General features: G+C 56.9%; 2 protein-coding genes across 7 annotated transcripts in view, besides 4 other annotated features; one reads left to right on the forward strand and one right to left on the reverse strand.

Moving 5' to 3' along the window:
• Window positions 4447-12626, forward strand: AMN (amnion associated transmembrane protein). Of its 3 annotated transcripts, none has more exons than NM_001425246.1 (12): window positions 4447-4534; window positions 5495-5613; window positions 5719-5763; window positions 10210-10297; window positions 10542-10759; window positions 10905-11042; window positions 11212-11320; window positions 11439-11521; window positions 11708-11870; window positions 11949-12111; window positions 12190-12277; window positions 12360-12626. In NM_001425246.1, the coding sequence occupies exons 3-12, from the start codon at window positions 5719-5721 to the stop codon at window positions 12462-12464; spliced, it is 1200 nt and encodes a 399-aa protein (NP_001412175.1). In that variant the 5' UTR covers window positions 4447-4534; window positions 5495-5613; the 3' UTR covers window positions 12465-12626. The 3 variants fall into 3 exon arrangements, with proteins under 3 accessions (NP_001412175.1, NP_112205.2, XP_011535505.1); NM_030943.4 differs by having other exon boundaries at window positions 4447-4515; XM_011537203.4 differs by lacking the exon at window positions 4447-4534 and adding an exon at window positions 4822-5282.
• Window positions 4671-4870: a silencer, noted in NCBI's record as "silent region_6134". NCBI's record gives its function as "represses an Ori minimal core promoter by ATAC-STARR-seq in GM12878 lymphoblastoid cells {active_cell/tissue: GM12878}" and the evidence as "EXISTENCE:reporter gene assay evidence [ECO:0000049][PMID:35858748]".
• Window positions 6034-6232: a silencer, noted in NCBI's record as "fragment chr14:103390587-103390785 (GRCh37/hg19 assembly coordinates)". NCBI's record gives its function as "represses an EF-1alpha promoter that drives an FKBP-Casp9 reporter gene in an ReSE screen in K562 erythroleukemia cells {active_cell/tissue: K562}" and the evidence as "EXISTENCE:reporter gene assay evidence [ECO:0000049][PMID:32094911]".
• Window positions 10083-10272: a silencer, noted in NCBI's record as "silent region_6135". NCBI's record gives its function as "represses an Ori minimal core promoter by ATAC-STARR-seq in GM12878 lymphoblastoid cells {active_cell/tissue: GM12878}" and the evidence as "EXISTENCE:reporter gene assay evidence [ECO:0000049][PMID:35858748]".
• Window positions 11802-12061: a silencer, noted in NCBI's record as "silent region_6136". NCBI's record gives its function as "represses an Ori minimal core promoter by ATAC-STARR-seq in GM12878 lymphoblastoid cells {active_cell/tissue: GM12878}" and the evidence as "EXISTENCE:reporter gene assay evidence [ECO:0000049][PMID:35858748]".
• Window positions 14164-18523, reverse strand: part of CDC42BPB (CDC42 binding protein kinase beta) — a 125170-nt gene continuing 120810 nt past the window's right edge. For all 4 annotated transcript variants that reach the window (NM_001411054.1, NM_006035.4, XM_005268228.2 and 1 more), the window contains one exon: window positions 14164-15627. In NM_001411054.1, coding sequence (NP_001397983.1) covers window positions 15496-15627 — 132 coding nt within the window. In that variant the 3' untranslated portion in view covers window positions 14164-15495. The remainder of the gene's footprint in view (window positions 15628-18523) is intronic.

Here is an 18523-nt window from a genome sequence, read left to right on the forward strand (position 1 = left end):
TAGTTTCCCTTTCACCTTCAGTCCTCTGCCTACATACCCACCTCCACCATCCTTCCTGCACCCTTCCCTAGTCACTCATCCACCATCCTGCCATTGGAACCCAGTGTAACCATCCACCATTCTCCCCCTTCCATCAGCTACAACCAGTGTCTCCCCAATCCACAAGGCACACCATCCATCTCTCCACCAGTAATCCCCTAATGACCAATTCACCACCCTCCCAGAAACTCATCTCCCCATCATCAAATCATCCAAACATCATGCACAATCCATTTGCTGTTCATCTTTCTACCTCTCTGCTTCCCAACACCCACAAATCCATCCTCCATTCACTCACCACCCAGCCATTCCAACGTGCATGATGCAGATCCAAGCATGCACTGCAGACCCATTCCCCCAACCCCCATCAATCATCCATCCATCACCTAGCGCACATTCATTCACAATTTATCCACCATGCTCTGTCCACCCACCCATTGATTTATATCCAGTAACTCCTGTACTCTTATCCATCTACCTACTGTCTCTCTACTTACTACTATCCATTCACACATCATCTAAAATTCATTCACCATTATTCATCCACCATCAATCCATCCCTCCACCATTTGGTCTTGTCCACCATCCATCTACATCCAAAATCCACAACTTTTTCTCACCCACCGTGCATTGCAACAACTATCCATACATACACATCTGTTCAACAGCTACGATTTCTCTTTCACCCATCAACCATCCACTATGCAACCATGATTCATTTTGCCACCGTCCGCCCTTTCCCTCGTTCTCCTTTATTCAACTACCATCTACCATCCATCAACCATCCTTCCATAATCACTCTTCTATCCATCCATCCACCAATAACATTCACCATCTGTGAGCTGCCATCCATACACTTACCCATTCACCATCCACAATCAACTATCTACTCTTTTTTTTTTTTTTTTTTTTTTTTTTTTTAATAGAGTCTCACTCTGTCGCCCAGGCTGGAGTGGAGTGGCACAATCTCGGCTCACTGCAACCTCTGCCTCCCAGGTTGAAGCAATTCGGCCCCAGCCTCCCAAGTAGTTGGGATTACAAATGTGCACCATCACATTTGGCTCATTTTTGTATTTTTAGTAGAGACAAGGTTTCACCATGTTGTCCATGCTGGTCTTGAACTCCTGACCTCAAGTGATACTCCATCCTCAGCCTCCCAAAATGCTGGGGTTACAGGCGTGAGCCACCGCGCCCAGCCAACTATCTGCTTTCATCTACCATCCGTCATCTGTCTGTTGATCAACTGTCCTTCTACAAAATACTATATCAACCCACCACCCATCATCCACCATTCATAACGCACCACCCATCTATCCCCATTCACCATCCACCATCACCTTCCATCTACCTACCATCCACCATCCACCATTCATAACACACCACCCATCATCCCCATTCACCATCCACCATCACCTTCCATCCATCTACCATCCATCATCCACCACCCATCTATCCCCATTCACCATCCACCATCACCTTCCATCCATCCACCATCCATCATCCACCATCCATCTATCCCCATTCACCATCCACCATCACCTTCCATCCATCCACCATCCATCATCCAACATCCATCTATCCCCATTCACCATCCACCATCACCTTCCATCCATCCACCATCCATCATCCAACATCCATCTATCCCCATTCACCATCCACCATCACCTTCCATCCATCTCCCATCCATCATCCACCATCCATCTATCCCCATTCACCATCCACCATCACCTTCCATCCATCTACCATCCATCATCCACCATCCATCCCCATTCACCATCCACCATCACCTTCCATCCATCCACCATCCATCATCCAACATCCATCTATCCCCATTCACCATCCACCATCACCTTCCATCCATCCACCATCCATCATCCACCATTCATAACGCACCACCCATCTATCCCAATTCACCATCCACCATCACCTTCCATCCATCTACCACTCATTCATTCACCATTCATTTATCCACCGTCCATTCATGCATACATCCACCATCCATCTATCCACCATTCATCCATCCACCATCCACTCCCACTATCCATCCATCCACCATCTATCCATCCACACATTCACCATCCACCCATCCACAACCTACCATCCATTCATCCACCATTCACTCATCCACCATCCATTCTCCACCATCCATCTACCCATCCATCCCTCTACCCATTCACATATCCACCATCCACTCATCCATCATCCACAATTCACTCATCCAGCGTCCATTCATCCATCCACCCATTCACACATCCACCCATCTACCATCCACCATCCCTTCATCCACCATCCACCCATCATTCACTCACCCACCATCCACCATCCATCCATCCACCCATCTATATGTCCATTCACCCATTCGCCATCCACTCATCCACCACCCACCATTCATCTATCATCCCTCATCCACTGTCTACCATCCACCATTCATCCATCCACCCATTCACCCATCCACCATCCATCCATCCACCATCCACTTATCCACAATCTGCCATCCACCATTCGCCATTCATCCATCCATTCATCCACCACCCATCACCATTCACATCCACCATCGGCCATTCACCATCCACCATCCACCATCCACCTATTCACCATCCACCATTCACTCATTCACCACCCATCCTTCCATCCACCCACCATCCACCACCCACCATCCACCAACCACTATTCATCTTACCATCCACCATCCACCATCTATCATCCACTATCTACCATCTGCCGCCCATCCATCCACTTAATATTCACCATCTACTCATCACCATTCACTTGTCCATTATCCACCACCCACCAACCATCATCCACCTACCATCCATCATCCACCATTTATCCATTATCTACTTATCTACCATCCATTACCCATCCATTTATCATCCTATCCACCATCTACTATCCACCCATTATCCACTATCCACTGTCTATTCACTATCCACCATCTATTCACTATCCACCGTCCATCTCCATCCACAATTCACCATTTATGCAACCATCATCCACCATCTATCCATTTACCATCTATCTATTCACCATCCACCATCCATCCATTCAGCATTCATCACTCACCAAACATCCACCATTTAACACCCACTTTTTTTTTTTTGAGATGGGGTTTCACTCTTGTTGCCCAGGCTGGAGCACAGTGGCGTGATCTCCGATCACCACAACCTCCGCCTTCCAGGTTCAAACGATTCTCCTGCCTTAGCCTCCCAAGTAGCTGGGATTACAGGCATGTGCCACCATGCCTATCTAATTTTGTATTTTTAGTAGAGATGGGGTTTCTCCATGTTGGTCAGGCTGGTCTCGAACTCCCGACCTCAGGTGATCTGCCCGCCTTGGCCTCCCAAAGTGCTGCGGTTACAGGCGTGAGCCACCGTGCCCCGCCAACACCCACTCTTTATGATCTACCTGTCGGCCATGTATCCATTTATGCCATTATCCATCCACCACTCCCTGATTACCATCCATTCCTTTTCCTTTTTTTTTTTTTTTTTTTGAGACGGAGTCTCGCTCTGTCGCTCAGGCTGGAGTGCAGCGCACGATCGTGGCTCACTGCAAGCTCCACCTCCTGGGTTCACGCCGTTCTGCCTCAGCCCCCCAAGTAGCTGGGACTACAGGCGCCTTCTACCATGCCCGGTTAATTTTTTTGTATATTTTTAGTATAGACGGGGTTTCACCGCGTTAGCCAGGATGGTCTTGATCTCCTGACCTCGCGATCCGCCTGCCTCACCCTCCCAAAGTGCTGGGATTACAGGCATGAGCCACCACGCCCGGCCATTCATTCATTTTTCACTCACCATCCTCATCCATCCATTCATCACCCATCCACCCTCTATCACTCACCATCCACCCCGTCAACCATTTACCATTCATCTGCCATGCGTCCATATGCCGTACACCATGCACCATCAATGTTGCTGTCCATCAGCTGTCCCCTACTCACCATCCACTACTCTCCACCATCATCCACAATCCACCCTCCTATACCATCCACATACCATGTTCCATCCAGGATCTTCCTTCTATCATCCAACCACCACCCACAGCCCATGGGACAGGGGCACTGCGTGGAGAAGTGGACACCCAGTTCCAATGGTGAGCAGACTAGCTCAGCCCTAGCAGCACACAGGACAGAGAAAGGGGTGAATTCAAAGGTCGTTTATTCCCCCTCCCGGCAAGACACCCATTTTACAGGGTAGGTCAGTCTCGCCAAGCCCTTCTTCTTTGCCCTTCTTCCTGAGAACCTAAGGTGTTCAGGCCCTGCAGGGGCGGGTAAGGGGAGGCTGAGAAGGTGCCTCCCAGGGGCCTGAAGAGTCGGCCCTGGGCGGGTCTGGAGGTAAATGTGTAACCGACCCTGGTGCCCCCACCCGACCTGCCTGGTCACGTGGGTCCAGTGGGGCAAAGTCTCCTGGTGGGGTGCAAGGAGCCGAGGCGAGATGGGCGTCCTGGGCCGGGTCCTGCTGTGGCTGCAGCTCTGCGGTGAGCCGGGACCACACCGGTGCGGGCCCGGACGGTAGCGGTCTGTCAGGACCCAGGGCCGAGGTCGCTCTAGGCCTGGAGGGTGAAGATCTTCCGAGGAGTGGGCAGGGAGGGCTTTGGAGGGTTGGGGGCGTGAAACTCGGCCCTGCCTCCCTCGTCTGGCGAGTGCGCAGCCCGGAAGTGCGCGGCCAGTGCATCGGGCGGTGCGGGAGAGGAGAGGAGGGGCTCCGGGAACCTCGGCCAGCCCCGGCCTCCGGCGGCTCCTGCCCTCGCGGTTTTTCCGTCTGCGAAATGGGCGCGGTCCCCAGAACCTGCCGAGAGCAGCGAGTGTGCGCCTGCGGGGCTCGGCAGACCGCCTCAGCTTCCCGGTCCCCAAGGGAGCACTGAGCCCTCCTCCGCCTTCACACCAGGCCGGCGCGTGTCCCTGGCGCCCCCTTCCCTAAACCCCTCGCGGCTCCCTCAGGACAACCCCACCCACCACATTCAGGGCCGGCCTGACCTGGTCCTGCCGCCCCCAGCCCCTTCTTACTTCTCATACCGGGTTGCGCTCTGTCGCAGCTCTTCCCGGCCCAGGTAGGACTCCTCCGGGAAGCCTTCCTGATTCCAAGGCCGAGAAGAGGTCTGTGCTGCCCCATCCTCCTCCATGCCCCAGTTGTCACTGTCCTTAACAACGCTGTCCTCTGCTCCAGCGCCAGGCAAACTGGGGGCAGTGCCGGGAGGCTATCTAGGCAGGCGTCCTGCAGGGCGCGTTTGAGCGGGCTCTGCAGGTATCAGTAGAAGTCCGTTGGAGAGCGCCCGGGCAGGGCGCCCACAGTCTGGCCGGGAGGGACCAGGGTCTGGGTCCGGGCCCCCGGGGATGGGGTTCCTATGCGTCCCGGGTGATCCGCGCGGACCTTCCGCACTTCTCTGGGTGGGTGGCCTTCCCTGAGAAGGGAGCATCCCGGAGAGCATCCCGGGCACTCAGTCGCCTCCTCCCCAGCACTGACCCAGGCGGTCTCCAAACTCTGGGTCCCCAACACGGACTTCGACGTCGCAGCCAACTGGAGCCAGAACCGGACCCCGTGCGCCGGCGGCGCCGTTGAGTTCCCGGCGGACAAGGTGCCTGGGAGCGCCGGCGGGGTCGGTGATGGGCCTGGACCCCTGAGACCGTGTGGCCCCGGTGGGGGTTGCTCCCGGCTCGGCTGAGGCAGCTTCTTCCTGCAGATGGTGTCAGTCCTGGTGCAAGAAGGTCACGCCGTCTCAGACATGGTAAGGCCGGGCTGCTACTGCCACTGGGCTGGGGGTTCACAGAGTCTCTGAAGCGCCTTCAGGGACTGCTGTGCCTTGAGGGCGGACCCCACCGGCATGGAGGCACTGCAGGACTGGGACTTTGGCCTCTGGAGAATATTCTAGGAGGCAGGGAGTGGGGGGGAACCTAGGGGAGCTTGGTCCCATGGTCCCAGCCAGGCTGTGTCCTGGGAGGGATGGGAGGCACCCCTGTCCCCACAGCCCTTGTGATGCCCAGCAGTGGGTGGTCTTCCCAGGAAGCGCCTGCTCCATGCCCTTCCCCCAAAGCCTTGCCTTGTCCTGGTGCCTAAAGCTCCATCTTTAGAACACTAGGGAAAGTGTCCCCAACACCCCCCCCTCTACCCACCATCCGGGTCCCTGGCCTGTTAGGAAGTGGCCGCCCAGGAAGAGGCGAGCCCACTCCTGCCTGGCTCTGCCTCCCTTCAGATCAGATCAGATTCTCCTAGGGACCCCTATTGTCACTGCGCCAGCGAGGGGCCTGGGTGGGTGTGCACTCCTTAAGTGGCTGACATCTGAGATGGGACAGCTTAATCCTGAAACCTTCCCCACTCCCATCAGTCCATGGAAGAACTGTCTTCCACAAAACTGGTCCCTGGTGCCAAAAAGGTTGGGGACTGCTGCCCTAGGGGACCTTTTTCTCAAACTGCTTCACACAACACTCCAAGAACATGATGGGAACTGGGAGGAAAGCGGGTTCCATGAGTAGGTAAGTTTGGGAAATGCTGCAGCCTGCACTTTCCTGGAGCTTCATCACGTATTAAAGGCTCTGATAAGGCCCCAGAGAAAGAAGCTAATTTCCTTGTTTAAGGTGGAGTTCCGCAAGCTACAGGCCAAATGCAGCCCCTACGGGTGGAGCAAGGAACGGTTTTTACACTTTGTAATCGTTGGGGAAAAAAAGAACAATCTTTTGTGGCACTTGAAAAATATATGACATTCACACCTCAGCGACAGTAAATACAGCTTCACTGGCACACAGCCTGCCCGCTTGGTTGAGTATCCTCGGTGGCCACTGTCCCATTGCATCGGCAGCCCACCAGCTTCCAGGGTGACTGTGGGGCCTGCAGGCCAAGCCTCTGGGCAAAAGCTTCCTTCCAGCCCCTTCACAGCCACTCCTGGGCTGCGTCCTCATCCTGTCACCTGCACACCTGCCAGCTCAGTCACTCCTGAGTGAGGGTCACTGGTGAGCTGGGTCGGGGTGTCGGCTCCAGATGTGGGGTCCAGGCCTGGGGCCCCCGCGTGTGCGGGTGGGGAGGATGGCTCAATGGGCTTGGCCTGGCCCATTCCTGCCCCATGCGGGGTCAGGGACCCTGGGCCTCATTTCCACCCCAGGGCCGCTTGGTTCCTTCCTTCAGGTTTTCCAAAGCTGCCTTAACCCAAAAGCTGCCACACACTGGGGAGGGCACCCACAGCAAGATGGCGACGCTCCCACCCGGGAAACAGGAGGAGGGCAGGGAGAGGGAGGCGGTTGCCCCTTGTGGCCCGGCCCCCAGAACCCACGCATAACCTTGGCAACCAGGCAGCCCGAGTGAGGGGGGCACTGGGAGCTGATGGGGGACCTGTGGGCAGAGGAGTCAGGCTGGGCTGGGGGTTCCAGGGCATGGATTTCCCCCTACTCCCCTCCCCTGCCGGCCTCCTTACTTTCATGATCTCCTTTGGAAGCACTTGGGCTCTGAAAGGAGGCAATACTCCATTCATTCATCTATTCAATAATTCATTCATTGATCATCCATTGGCCGGTGGGAACAGCGCAGGGGCAGGGGACAGTGGCCCCAGGGTCCCAGCCTGCAGAGGCCGAATTCACCCAGAGCCGCCCAAGCACCCCCATCCCCTGCCCGCGTCGGCTATGTTGCCCTCCACACCCCTGGCTCCCAGCTTCATCCATCTGCCTAGATGAGGCCCGAGTAACAGGCCGTGCACATCAGTGCCTTACTTTGTAATTCTGTGGTTGGGAGCGTCCCTCCCTGCGATTTTCCTTTTCCTTGCCCTTCCTCCCATTTCTACCTTTTGCCTGCTTTCTTGTTGGGGGAGTCTCCTGTCTTTCACCCATCCCCCTGCCTTGGCTGGAGGCTTTGCAAGTCTGCTCACTGTGGACTTGCCTGCAGTGTCCTGTGCTGAACAGAAACCTTCATTTTAATCGACCTAATGCAAAACGCCTTACCTTAGAACTGTGTTTTTTCTGTTTCGTTTGAGAATCGCGTCTGCTCCTCAGTCACAATGGTAATGGACTGTGTACCTATGGGGCACGTGCACCAGCGAGGGCTCCTGCTGTGTTTCTCTCCTTAGAGTGAACCCAGCTTCCAGCATCCTCCGCCTTGCCCTTTTGTTCTAGCACTGCTGGAATCCGTCGTGTGCCTGGGTGTTGTGGGTCTCTCTGAGCCTTGTCTTCAAGTCCACAGGCCGCTTTGCCGACCCTACACTATCCACACAGTGGCTCTGCAGGATGGCTTAATATCCATCCCCTTCACTCCTGCTCCAAGGTTCTTTGTGGATCTCATTGTTGCAGATAAATTGTAGAATAGGTTTGCCAGGTAACAACTACCACCACCACCACCAAAAAAACCCTGGATTTTTTTTTTTTTTTTTTTTGAGATGGAGTCTTGCTCTGCCACCCAGGCTGGAGTGCAGTGGTGTGATCTCGGCTCAGTGCAACCTCTGCCTCCCGGGCTCAAGCGATTCTCCTGCCTGAGCCTCCCAAGTAGCTGAGACTACAGGAATTTTGATTGGGATAAATAACAGCCTTATGCTGTCAAGCCATCCATTCAAGAGCATGGACGGACTCTCTCTAAATATTTCAGGTCATCCATGGCCTCTTTAGCATCTTAAAGTTTTCCCTGTAGAGGTCTTATATTGTATTGGTTAATTCATCAATACTTTGTTAAGTTTGTTTTTTTGAGACAGGGTCTCACTCTGTTGCCCAGGCTGGAGTGCAATGGCGTGATCACGGCTCACTGCAGCCTTGACCTCCCTGGGCGCAAACAATCCTCCCACCTCAGCCTCCCGAGTAGCTGGGACTACAGGCTTGTGCCACCACGCCCGGCTAATTTTTGTAGTTTTTGTAGAGATGGGGGTCTCACTATGTTGGCCAGGCTGGTCTTGAACTCCTGGGCTCGAGTGATATGCCCGCTTCGGCCTTCCAAAGTGTTGGGATTACAGGCATGAGCCACCGCTCCTGGCCTTAAGTTTGGTTTCTATTATAAATGTTGCCCTATATTTAAAAATTATATCCTCTTTTTATTTTTAAATTTTTTGTAGAGATGGAGTCTCACTATGTTTCTCACCAGGCTGATCTCAAACTCCTGGCCTTACCTACTGTGCTCGTCTGTTCAACTATTATGTTACGTTTCTATTTTTCCCCTTCGTTCTTTAAAAAACGGTGTTCTTGGTATGCTTCCTCCTGGGAACCCCTCCCTGTTCCTGAGGCGCTTTGAGCTATGACACATTCCGTCCCCACGGCTCCACCTCTGCACCTGTGGGGGGACTTGCCCTGCTGGCAGTGCCACACCCTCAGGTGTGCACGGAACTGAAGTGTGACCTCACGTCGCTGGGGGTGTTGGCCTCTTGCTCAGGTGCAGTGCTCCTGGAAGGGCCGAAGAGTGGGTCCTGCCTCGGGTGGGCGCGCCCTGCTGTGCTGAGCCCCTCACAACCTGGCAGCAAGGGTTGCCCTGGCCCAGCGCTCACCCTCAGCCCCTGAGGGAGAAGTGCAGAAGCAAGAAGGCAGGAGGCTGAGGTCCTGGCACTTGGAGGAGAGGGGGAGTGAGGGGCGGCCAGTCAGACCCCCCGTATTTCTGCTGACACCCGAGACTTGGGCTGTGGCCCCACTTCTGTGGTGCGGGAGCTGCACGGCCCAGCCCAAGCCTATAGGAAACAGCAGGGGCAACTCCACCTCCCCGCTACACTCCCTGCCTCCTCCTGCACCCCTGGCCGCCAGATGCAGCCTCTCCCTCCCTCCCTCACACACCAAGAGCGCGGCCTCAGACTCCCCAGGAGCCGGGCAACTTTCGAAACTTTAGTTCCTGGAACCTGGGAGCCCTGGGCCTGTGCACGTTCTCAAGGGGCTACGGGGGGAGGCGACAGGCCCTGGCCAGAGTCACCTCCGCCCCAGACTCCCCACGGCTCCGTCTCGCTCCCCGGCTCCGGCTCTGCCCCTGGCCTGTGAGACCTCCAGCTCAGGGACAGGACACTGGGCTGTGCCCGCTTCGGGGCCTTGCCCACGCGGCCCCATCTTTCCCAGGCCAGATCCGCTTCCTCTGCCAGCCTCAGCCAGGCCGAGGACCCCGGGCCTGAGCTCGCCCGGGCTCCTTCCGTGCACAGGGTCTCGGCTTCTCGTCCCAGGGGACTGGGGGCGGGGTGGGCGCGGAGCAGGCCCGGACCCCCGCGTGGCGCCGCCTCAGCCCGTGTCTCTTGCAGCTCCTGCCGCTGGATGGGGAACTCGTCCTGGCTTCAGGAGCCGGATTCGGCGTCTCAGACGTGGGCTCGCACCTGGACTGTGGCGCGGGTGAGGCGGTCGGGCAGGGGCGGGGCTCTGGAAAGGCATGTTCAGGGGCGGGGACTGGAGGGAAGGCGCGTCGAGGGGGGCGAGGACCGGAGGGAGGGCGCCTCCGGGGGCGTGGTTTAGGGAGTGGCGGAAGTGTCCCGAAGCGGGGCTTGGGAGGTCGTGCTCAGACGCGTGGCGTGGCGTGGCGTGGCGTGGTGTGGCGCGGCGCTTGTTCCGTGGAGCTCAGGGATGTGCTCCGGCTCAGGCGAACCTGCCGTCTTCCGCGACTCTGACCGCTTCTCCTGGCATGACCCGCACCTGTGGCGCTCTGGGGACGAGGCACCTGGCCTCTTCTTCGTGGACGCCGAGCGCGTGCCCTGCCGCCACGACGACGTCTTCTTTCCGCCTAGTGCCTCCTTCCGCGTGGGGCTCGGCCCTGGCGCTAGCCCCGTGCGTGTCCGCAGCATCTCGGCTCTGGGCCGGGTGAGCACTGAGGGGAGGGAGGCTCGGGTCCCCTCTCCCCACCTCGGCCCGACCCCGCCCCTCCTGGTCTGCACACGTTGGGTCTGAGCACTCAGGTGAAGTCTCTTCCTCGGGCTGGCTCCGGTGGGGACCCGGCTGCCCGCAGACGTTCACGCGCGACGAGGACCTGGCTGTTTTCCTGGCGTCCCGCGCGGGCCGCCTACGCTTCCACGGGCCGGGCGCGCTGAGCGTGGGCCCCGAGGACTGCGCGGACCCGTCGGGCTGCGTCTGCGGCAACGCGGAGGTGAGCGAGGCCGCAGTGGAGTCGCGGGGGCCGCGCGAGGGTCGGGACTGTGCCCGGGACAGGGCCGCTGCGCTCCCACGGTCTCTCGCCGGCTTGCTTCTCGGAGGCATCGCCCTTCTCGCTGCGGTCCGCTCTGGCCCTCCGCGCTGACCACCGCCCCTCGCACCAGGCGCAGCCGTGGATCTGCGCGGCCCTGCTCCAGCCCCTGGGCGGCCGCTGCCCCCAGGCCGCCTGCCACAGCGCCCTCCGGCCCCAGGGGCAGTGCTGTGACCTCTGTGGTAAGCGCCCCCGCCGGGCCCTGCTTGCTGGGAAGGCCTGGAGGACCAGGTTCGTCCCCCGCCTCAGTTTCCTGCCGGGCCCGGATCCACGGCGCTGACCCCTGCCCTCCCGCCGCAGGAGCCGTTGTGTTGCTGACCCACGGCCCCGCATTTGACCTGGAGCGGTACCGGGCGCGGATACTGGACACCTTCCTGGGTCTGGTAATGGGGCCGCGCGGGCAGCTGAGGGGAGTCCCGACCCCAGCCCTACCGCCTCCGCCTAGGACGCCCCTTCTGCAGGGTCCCTGCGGCTGCTCACTTGCCCACTATCTGCCTCTGCCCTTAGCGTCCCCATAGGCTCGGGGAGGGCGGGGGGCTGAGTCAAACCAACCCCGTCCCCCTCCCCAGCCTCAGTACCACGGGCTGCAGGTGGCCGTGTCCAAGGTGCCACGCTCGTCCCGGCTCCGTGAGGCCGATACGGAGATCCAGGTGGTGCTGGTGGAGAATGGGCCCGAGACAGGCGGAGCGGGGCGGCTGGCCCGGGCCCTCCTGGCGGACGTCGCCGAGAACGGTAACCGCGCCCGCCCCATCCCGCCCCGCCGCGCCTCGCCCCGCCGCGGGGAAGACTGAGCCGGCCCCTCCGTCGCAGGCGAGGCCCTCGGCGTCCTGGAGGCGACCATGCGGGAGTCGGGCGCACACGTCTGGGGCAGCTCCGCGGCTGGGCTGGCGGGCGGCGTGGCGGCTGCCGTGCTGCTGGCGCTGCTGGTCCTGCTGGTGGCGCCGCCGCTGCTGCGCCGCGCGGGGAGGCTCAGGTACGCGGGGCGGGGGCGCGGAGGTGGGGCTGGGGGTTGCTCCGAGGGGCTCACGCTGCGTCCCCGCTACGCCCTCAGGTGGAGGAGGCACGAGGCGGCGGCCCCGGCTGGAGCGCCCCTCGGCTTCCGCAACCCGGTGTTCGACGTGACGGCCTCCGAGGAGCTGGTGAGGGGGCTGGAGGGGGGACCGGGGCCTCCTCGGGGCCGGGACTCGGCGCCGACCGCCGCCTGACCCTGTCACCCCGCAGCCCCTGCCGCGGCGGCTCAGCCTGGTTCCGAAGGCGGCCGCAGACAGCACCAGCCACAGTTACTTCGTCAACCCTCTGTTCGCCGGGGCCGAGGCCGAGGCCTGAGCGGCCGCCTGACCGTCGACCTTGGGGCTCTCCACCCGCTCTGGCCCCAGTCGAACTGGGGGCTAGCCACCTCCTCGTCCAGCCCCCAAACCTCCCCTTCCTTTCCCCCTCCTCCGGGGGCCAAGGACAGGGTGGCCTTACTCAGTAAAGGTGTTTCCTGCACCTGCTGTCAGCCTGGCTATGCCGCCACCGGCCCCGCCCATGAGGACTAGGAGCCCAGCCTTGCGCCGCATTCGCACTGGGGGACATGGGAGGGGTCTAGCTGGCCACTGCTGGAGGCAGCGCTGGTCGTCACCTGGGCGGCCAGAGGCTGGGATCTGCGAAGTTGAACCCAGAACTAGGAGTGGGGCTTCCCCCGCCTTCCGGTGAGGGGAGGGTGAGGAGCTGGAGGGAGGGGCGGGAGAGAGGCAAGGGGTGGACGGAGCCAAAGGCCGTGCCTGGTGGGGCGGACGGAAAAGGGGTGGGCATCCCTCCTGGTACCAAGCTGCTGGGTGCGAAGGCAGATCATATGGGGTCACCCATGTGCAAGCGTGCGCCACTGCACCGACACAGACAAGGGTCCAGCCCTGTGTGTGCAGCTGCAACTGTGGCAGTGACCACTTCTGTGAAACCAGCATCTGGGGCTGGAGATGTCACCGGCATCCCCAGTCATGGCCTGGCCCCCATTTGGAATCTTCTGCCCAGGGGCCCAGCTTAGCCACCAGGACACGTGCTGTAACCCAGATCAGGGCCCCGTGCTTCGAGGTGCGGCTGTGTTGTGGTTGGAATGAGTCACTCTCAGTGCTGTGCAGTGTCCCGTTGAGTGACCGCCACAGTTCACGTGTGTGCTCCAACAGCTACCATCTCGCATTTTTAAAAGAAGTGGCCGATACTCCCACACGCACTTTTTAGCCACAATTTTCTTTAGTGTCAGGTGCAAACTGGAGAGCAAGCCTGAGCTGACCAGACACCACCTGCCACCCACTGCTCACCCGTCACAGATGGACTGTGCTGGCAGGGACCTGCCTCTGGTGTGGACTGTGGAAGGAGAGATGCTCTGGGCTTCCAGGGGAGCCGCCTGCTGCAGCAGCAGCCCAGGCCATGCTGCCTGGCACAGAGCTCAAGGTCCCAAGTGCCCCCGCTGGGTGCTGGGCTGCCTGCCCTGGCTTGCAGTCTTCTCCCAGGTCCGCACTCTTCTGCAGGGGCCATCACTGCCCTTGTCCTACCAAGGACAACTAGGTCTCAGTGAGTGGCAAATAGAAGCCAACTCCCTGCATAACTCAGGAAACTGACTCCGAGCATTCCCTCAACCAGGGACCACTCACCCTGGCCCAGACCTCCCCGAGAACTCCTGCCTCTTCCTGGGGCCTCTGGCCTACCCCATCCTGTCCCTTGGGGCTGCTGGCAGGGTTGGCGTGTATGGGTGTGGACAGGCAGACCCTCGCGGGCAGCCTGCTCCTGGGGCCCTGGCACTGCCTGGCTGGGGCTCACAGGCACGCTGCCCTCCTCCCTTCACTCCTGCCCCAAGGATGCCCTCTGTTCAGGCTGAACACCCCAACAGCAGCCTTTTGGGTGACCTCCGAGTGAGTTACCCAGAATAGCTTCTGCTGGCGAATAGCATCTTCTGCAAGGTGGCTCCTTCACTGCCTTTTGGAGCTCAGGCACTTCTGGGGCCCAGACACACGGGTGACATGTTACCACATCCAAACGGACCACTGGGAACTTTAAAACTGCCGTCTTCTGCTTTATTGACAGGTAAATTGTTCAAAAATGTTCTCACAATTCAATAATTAATTACAAAGACTGAGACTTACATTAAAAAAGTAAAAACCAGAACCCCCCAGGTGCCCATCCAGCAGAAGGCCCAGGAGGGCAGTGGGGTGGCAGGGCTAGGCGGTGCTGGGCCACTCAGTGCCGACTTGGGGAAGTGCACGTCCTGAACAGCCTTGCCAAGCAGCCGACCGGTGGGAGGACAGGGGAAGCCTGGCCCAAGCTGTGGACAAGCTGTGTCTGCCGCCACAGTTAATCACAAGCCTCTGACGACACAGGGCCACAGAGCTGGTCACTCAACATCTGGTACAAAGGGTGAGGTGAAATCCACGCGCAGGGGATTGCTGTGCCGTGGGCCGGGGCCAGTGTGCAGGAGTGTGTTGGGTGGGTCTACGTGATCATACGGGCTACTAATCACGGGGGCTCCATGCGGGGGCAGGACTGGTGGGGGGGGGGGCGGGCAGGGCGGGGCGGGGTGGGGTATCCCAGTGGCTGCTTCGTGGCGCCCTGGGGCTCTGACTTCCCTCAGCCCAGCAGGCCACAGGGCCTGCCTGCACCACGACACTCGCTGGTTTTATGGCAGGAGGCAGAAGCCGTGGAAGCGAATGGAAAACAGCACAGCTGACTTCACAGTAGTAGATACTGGTGACACTTCATGGCTGCGACCCAGAATGAACTTAATGCACACAGGGACGCAGGGTGTCACTGGTCCTGGGCCTTTGTCCATGACTAGGTGGTCAGCAGGACTTCTGCAGCTGACTGTGCAATGGCTAAATGAAAAAAAGGCCACAGACTAACCTCCACTTTCCTGTCTTCAAAATTCTAGTGACACTGGGAATGCTATAGGACCTCCTACTATTCTCTTAAGGTCCTAGGAAAGTTTCAGGAACTAGGGAAAAGACTGGGTACTGAGGCTGTGTCCCCAGATGTCTGCTTCCGAAGCAGCCGCGTCATGACGGGTTTCTGCTGAGGAAGTGGTGTTGGCAGGGCCCCATATGCCCTCTCGGGTTGTCAGGGGTGGGAGACAGGCTGTATGGGGGTCCTTCATGTGCAGATGGAACAGCATCGCCTCACAGCTGTGCAGACGAACAGATGTGGTCTACTGCCACGAACAATGCGGCATAAAACTGATCAATATTATAATAAAGATTTGTCTTCTTCATCTCCATATCTACAAAGTGATTCTACATTTCCTTGGACAACACTGGAGGGCCCGCTCAGTCTTGGCACTGACGCTGGAGGCCATCTCCAGCTCCCTGGCCCCTGTGGCGAGCTGGCGGCTTCAGGTGTCACAGGCCGGCTGCTCCAGGCCTTCGAGGGGGAGCTGGCTCCTGTGGGGGGAGTTGGGGCTCGGTGGGCCGCTGGGGTTGGAGCTATTCGATGGAGTTGAGTGTTTGGTGGAGTCCGAATCAGGCTGTGAACAGGAAGAGGGCAGGGTGAGCACCCGCTGCCCTAGCCTGGGGAGGCACGCGTGCCCAGCTGGATGCAAATGTTTGCTCAGGGACAACTGTCGCAACTGCTCTTCTCCCTTCATGTTATGAAAACACACACGCTCTACACCAGCGATTCGTGGGGCCCTTAGGCGTGCTGGTGAGAGTCACAAATTGATGTCTAATCCCACTCAAAAATAACATGGTAATTATCATTACAAAAGACAGCAACTCTGTAGTGAAGAAATCAGATGGGGCCGGACGCAGTGGCTCCTGCCTGTAATCCCAGCACTTTGGGAGGCCAAGGTGGGTGGATCACACTTGAGGTCAGGAGTTTGAGACCAGCCTGGCCAATGTGGTAACACCCCATCTCTACTGAAAACACAAAAATCAGGCCGGGCGTGGTGGCTTACGCCTGTAATCCCAGCACTTTGGGAGGCCAAGGCAGGCGGATCACAAAGTCAGGAGATTGGGACCATCCTGGCTAACATGGTGAAACCCCGTCTCTACTAAAAATACAAAAAATTAGCCGGGCGTGGCAGCATGCACCTGTAGTCCCAACTGCTGGGGAGGCTGAGGCAGGAGAATGGCGTGAACCCGGGAGGCGGAGCTTGCAGTGAGCCGAGACTGCACCACTGCACTCCAGCCTGGGCGACAGAGCGAGACTCCGTCACAAAACAAAACAAAACAAAAAAAACAAAAATCAGCCGGGCACAGTGGTGCGCACCTGCAACCAAGCAGTCAAAGTCACAAACGCGACACTCTTTCCTGAGAAAAGCACTAGGAATAGAGGGGAACCTCCTCAACAAAATAAAACAGCTAACCATACCCAATGGTGAGAGACAAAATTTTCCCCTAAGATCAGCCACGGGCCGGGTGCGGTGGCTCACACCTGTAATCCCAGCACTTTGGGAGGCCAAGGTGGGCAGATCATGAGGTCAGGAGATTGAGACCATCCTAACACAGTGAAACCCTGTCTCTGCTAAAAATACAAAAAAAAATTAGCCTGGCATGGTGGTGGGCACCTGTAGTCCCAGCTACTCGGGAGGCTGAGGCAGGAGAATGGCGTGAACCCAGGAGGCGGAGCTTGCAGTGAGCCGAGATCGCATCACTGCATTCCAGCCTGGGCTACATGTAGAGTGAGACTCTGTCTCAAAAAAAAAAAAAAAAGAAAAAAAGAAAAAAGATCAGCAACAAGGCAAGGATGCCTGCTTTCACCACTGCTATTCAACATGGGGCTAGAGGTTCTAGGCAGAGCGATCAGGGAAGAAACAGAAATGAAAAGGATTCCAAGTTAGGAAGGAAGTAAAGCTATCTCTCTTTGCAGATGACATGATTATACACGTAGAAAATCCCAAAGAAAAGAATCCACAAAAAACTAATAAGCTCAGCAAAGTTATAGGGTATAAGATCAACACACACAAGTCAGTTGTGTTTCTATACACCAGAAATGAACACACTGAAAAGGAAACTGAAAAAAAAAATTCAATTTACAACAGCATCCAAAAGAATAGCTAGGAATAGTTTAACCAGAGAAGGGAAAAATGTGTACACTATAAATTACAAAACATTGCTGAAAAAATAGCTTAAATAAATGGAACACATCTCATGTTCGTGGAGTAAAAATATTGTTAAGATGGCTGTACTAGGCCGGGTATAGTGCCTCACGCCTGTAATCCCAGCACTTTGGGAGGCCAAGGCGGGCAGATCACTTGAGGTCAGGAGTTTGAGACCAGTCTGGCCAACATGGTGAAACCCCGCCTCTACTAAAAATACAAAAATCAGCCAGGTATGGTGGCGGGCACCTGTAGTCCCAGCTACTTGGGAGTCTGAGGCATGAGAATCACTTGATCCCAGGAAACAAAGGTTGCAGTGAGCCAAGATCGTGCCACTGCACTCTGTCTCAAAAAAAAAAAAAAAAAAAAGACATTAATTATGAGGAATGTAAATAACGACAACCCATAGAACAAGAGAAGACATCTGCACATCACATCTCTCACAAGAGCCTGGTACTCAGAACATGCCAGGAGCTCCTACAACCCAGCCACAAAAGGACAAACCACCCATTTCAAAAATGGGTAAAGGCCTTGAGTAGACATTTCTCTAAAGAAGGTACGGAAATGGCCAACAAGCATATGAAAAGATGCTAAACATAAGTCTTTAGAGAATGCAAATCAAAACCACAATCAGGTACTACTTCATAGCCACCAGGACGACTATTAAAAAGAAGAAAAACAAGAACAAGTATTGGTGAGGATGTCGAGATATGAGAACCCTCACATTGCTGGTGGAATATAGAATGGTACAACTGCTGCAGAAAACAATTTGGTGGTTCCTCAAAAAGTTAAACATAGAATTACCACATAAATCCAGCAATCCCACTCACAGGCATAAACCCGAATGTGAAAACAGGCACTCAAACACATATGTGCACACACGTGTTCACAGCAGCACCACTCACAACAGCTGAAGGACAGAAACAGCCCAAATGTGCCTCAGGGGAAGAATGGGAAAACAAACCGTGGTCTAGCCATACAAGAGAATATTATTTAGCAATAGAAACGCCAGCACTGATGCATGCTACACAACGGGGGTGAGCCACAAAACAGTATGCCAGGTGAGAGCTAGGCACAAAAGGTCAAACACACTGCCATACGAGAGGCTGGGCATTCCATTTCCACGAAATGTCCAGACAGGGAAATCACAGGAAACTACTGGCTGCCCAGGTGCTGAGGGGAGGGAGGGACGGGGAGAGAGTGCTTAAAGGGCAGGGGGTTTATTTTGAAATGATGAAAATGTCTTTTTTATTATGTTTTAGAGACAAGATCTCACTACACTGCCCAGGCTGGCCTTGAACTCCTCAGGCCATCCTTCCACCTC

Source organism: Homo sapiens, chromosome 14, assembly GCF_000001405.40.
Source record: "Homo sapiens chromosome 14, GRCh38.p14 Primary Assembly".
Lineage (NCBI taxonomy): Eukaryota > Metazoa > Chordata > Mammalia > Primates > Hominidae > Homo > Homo sapiens.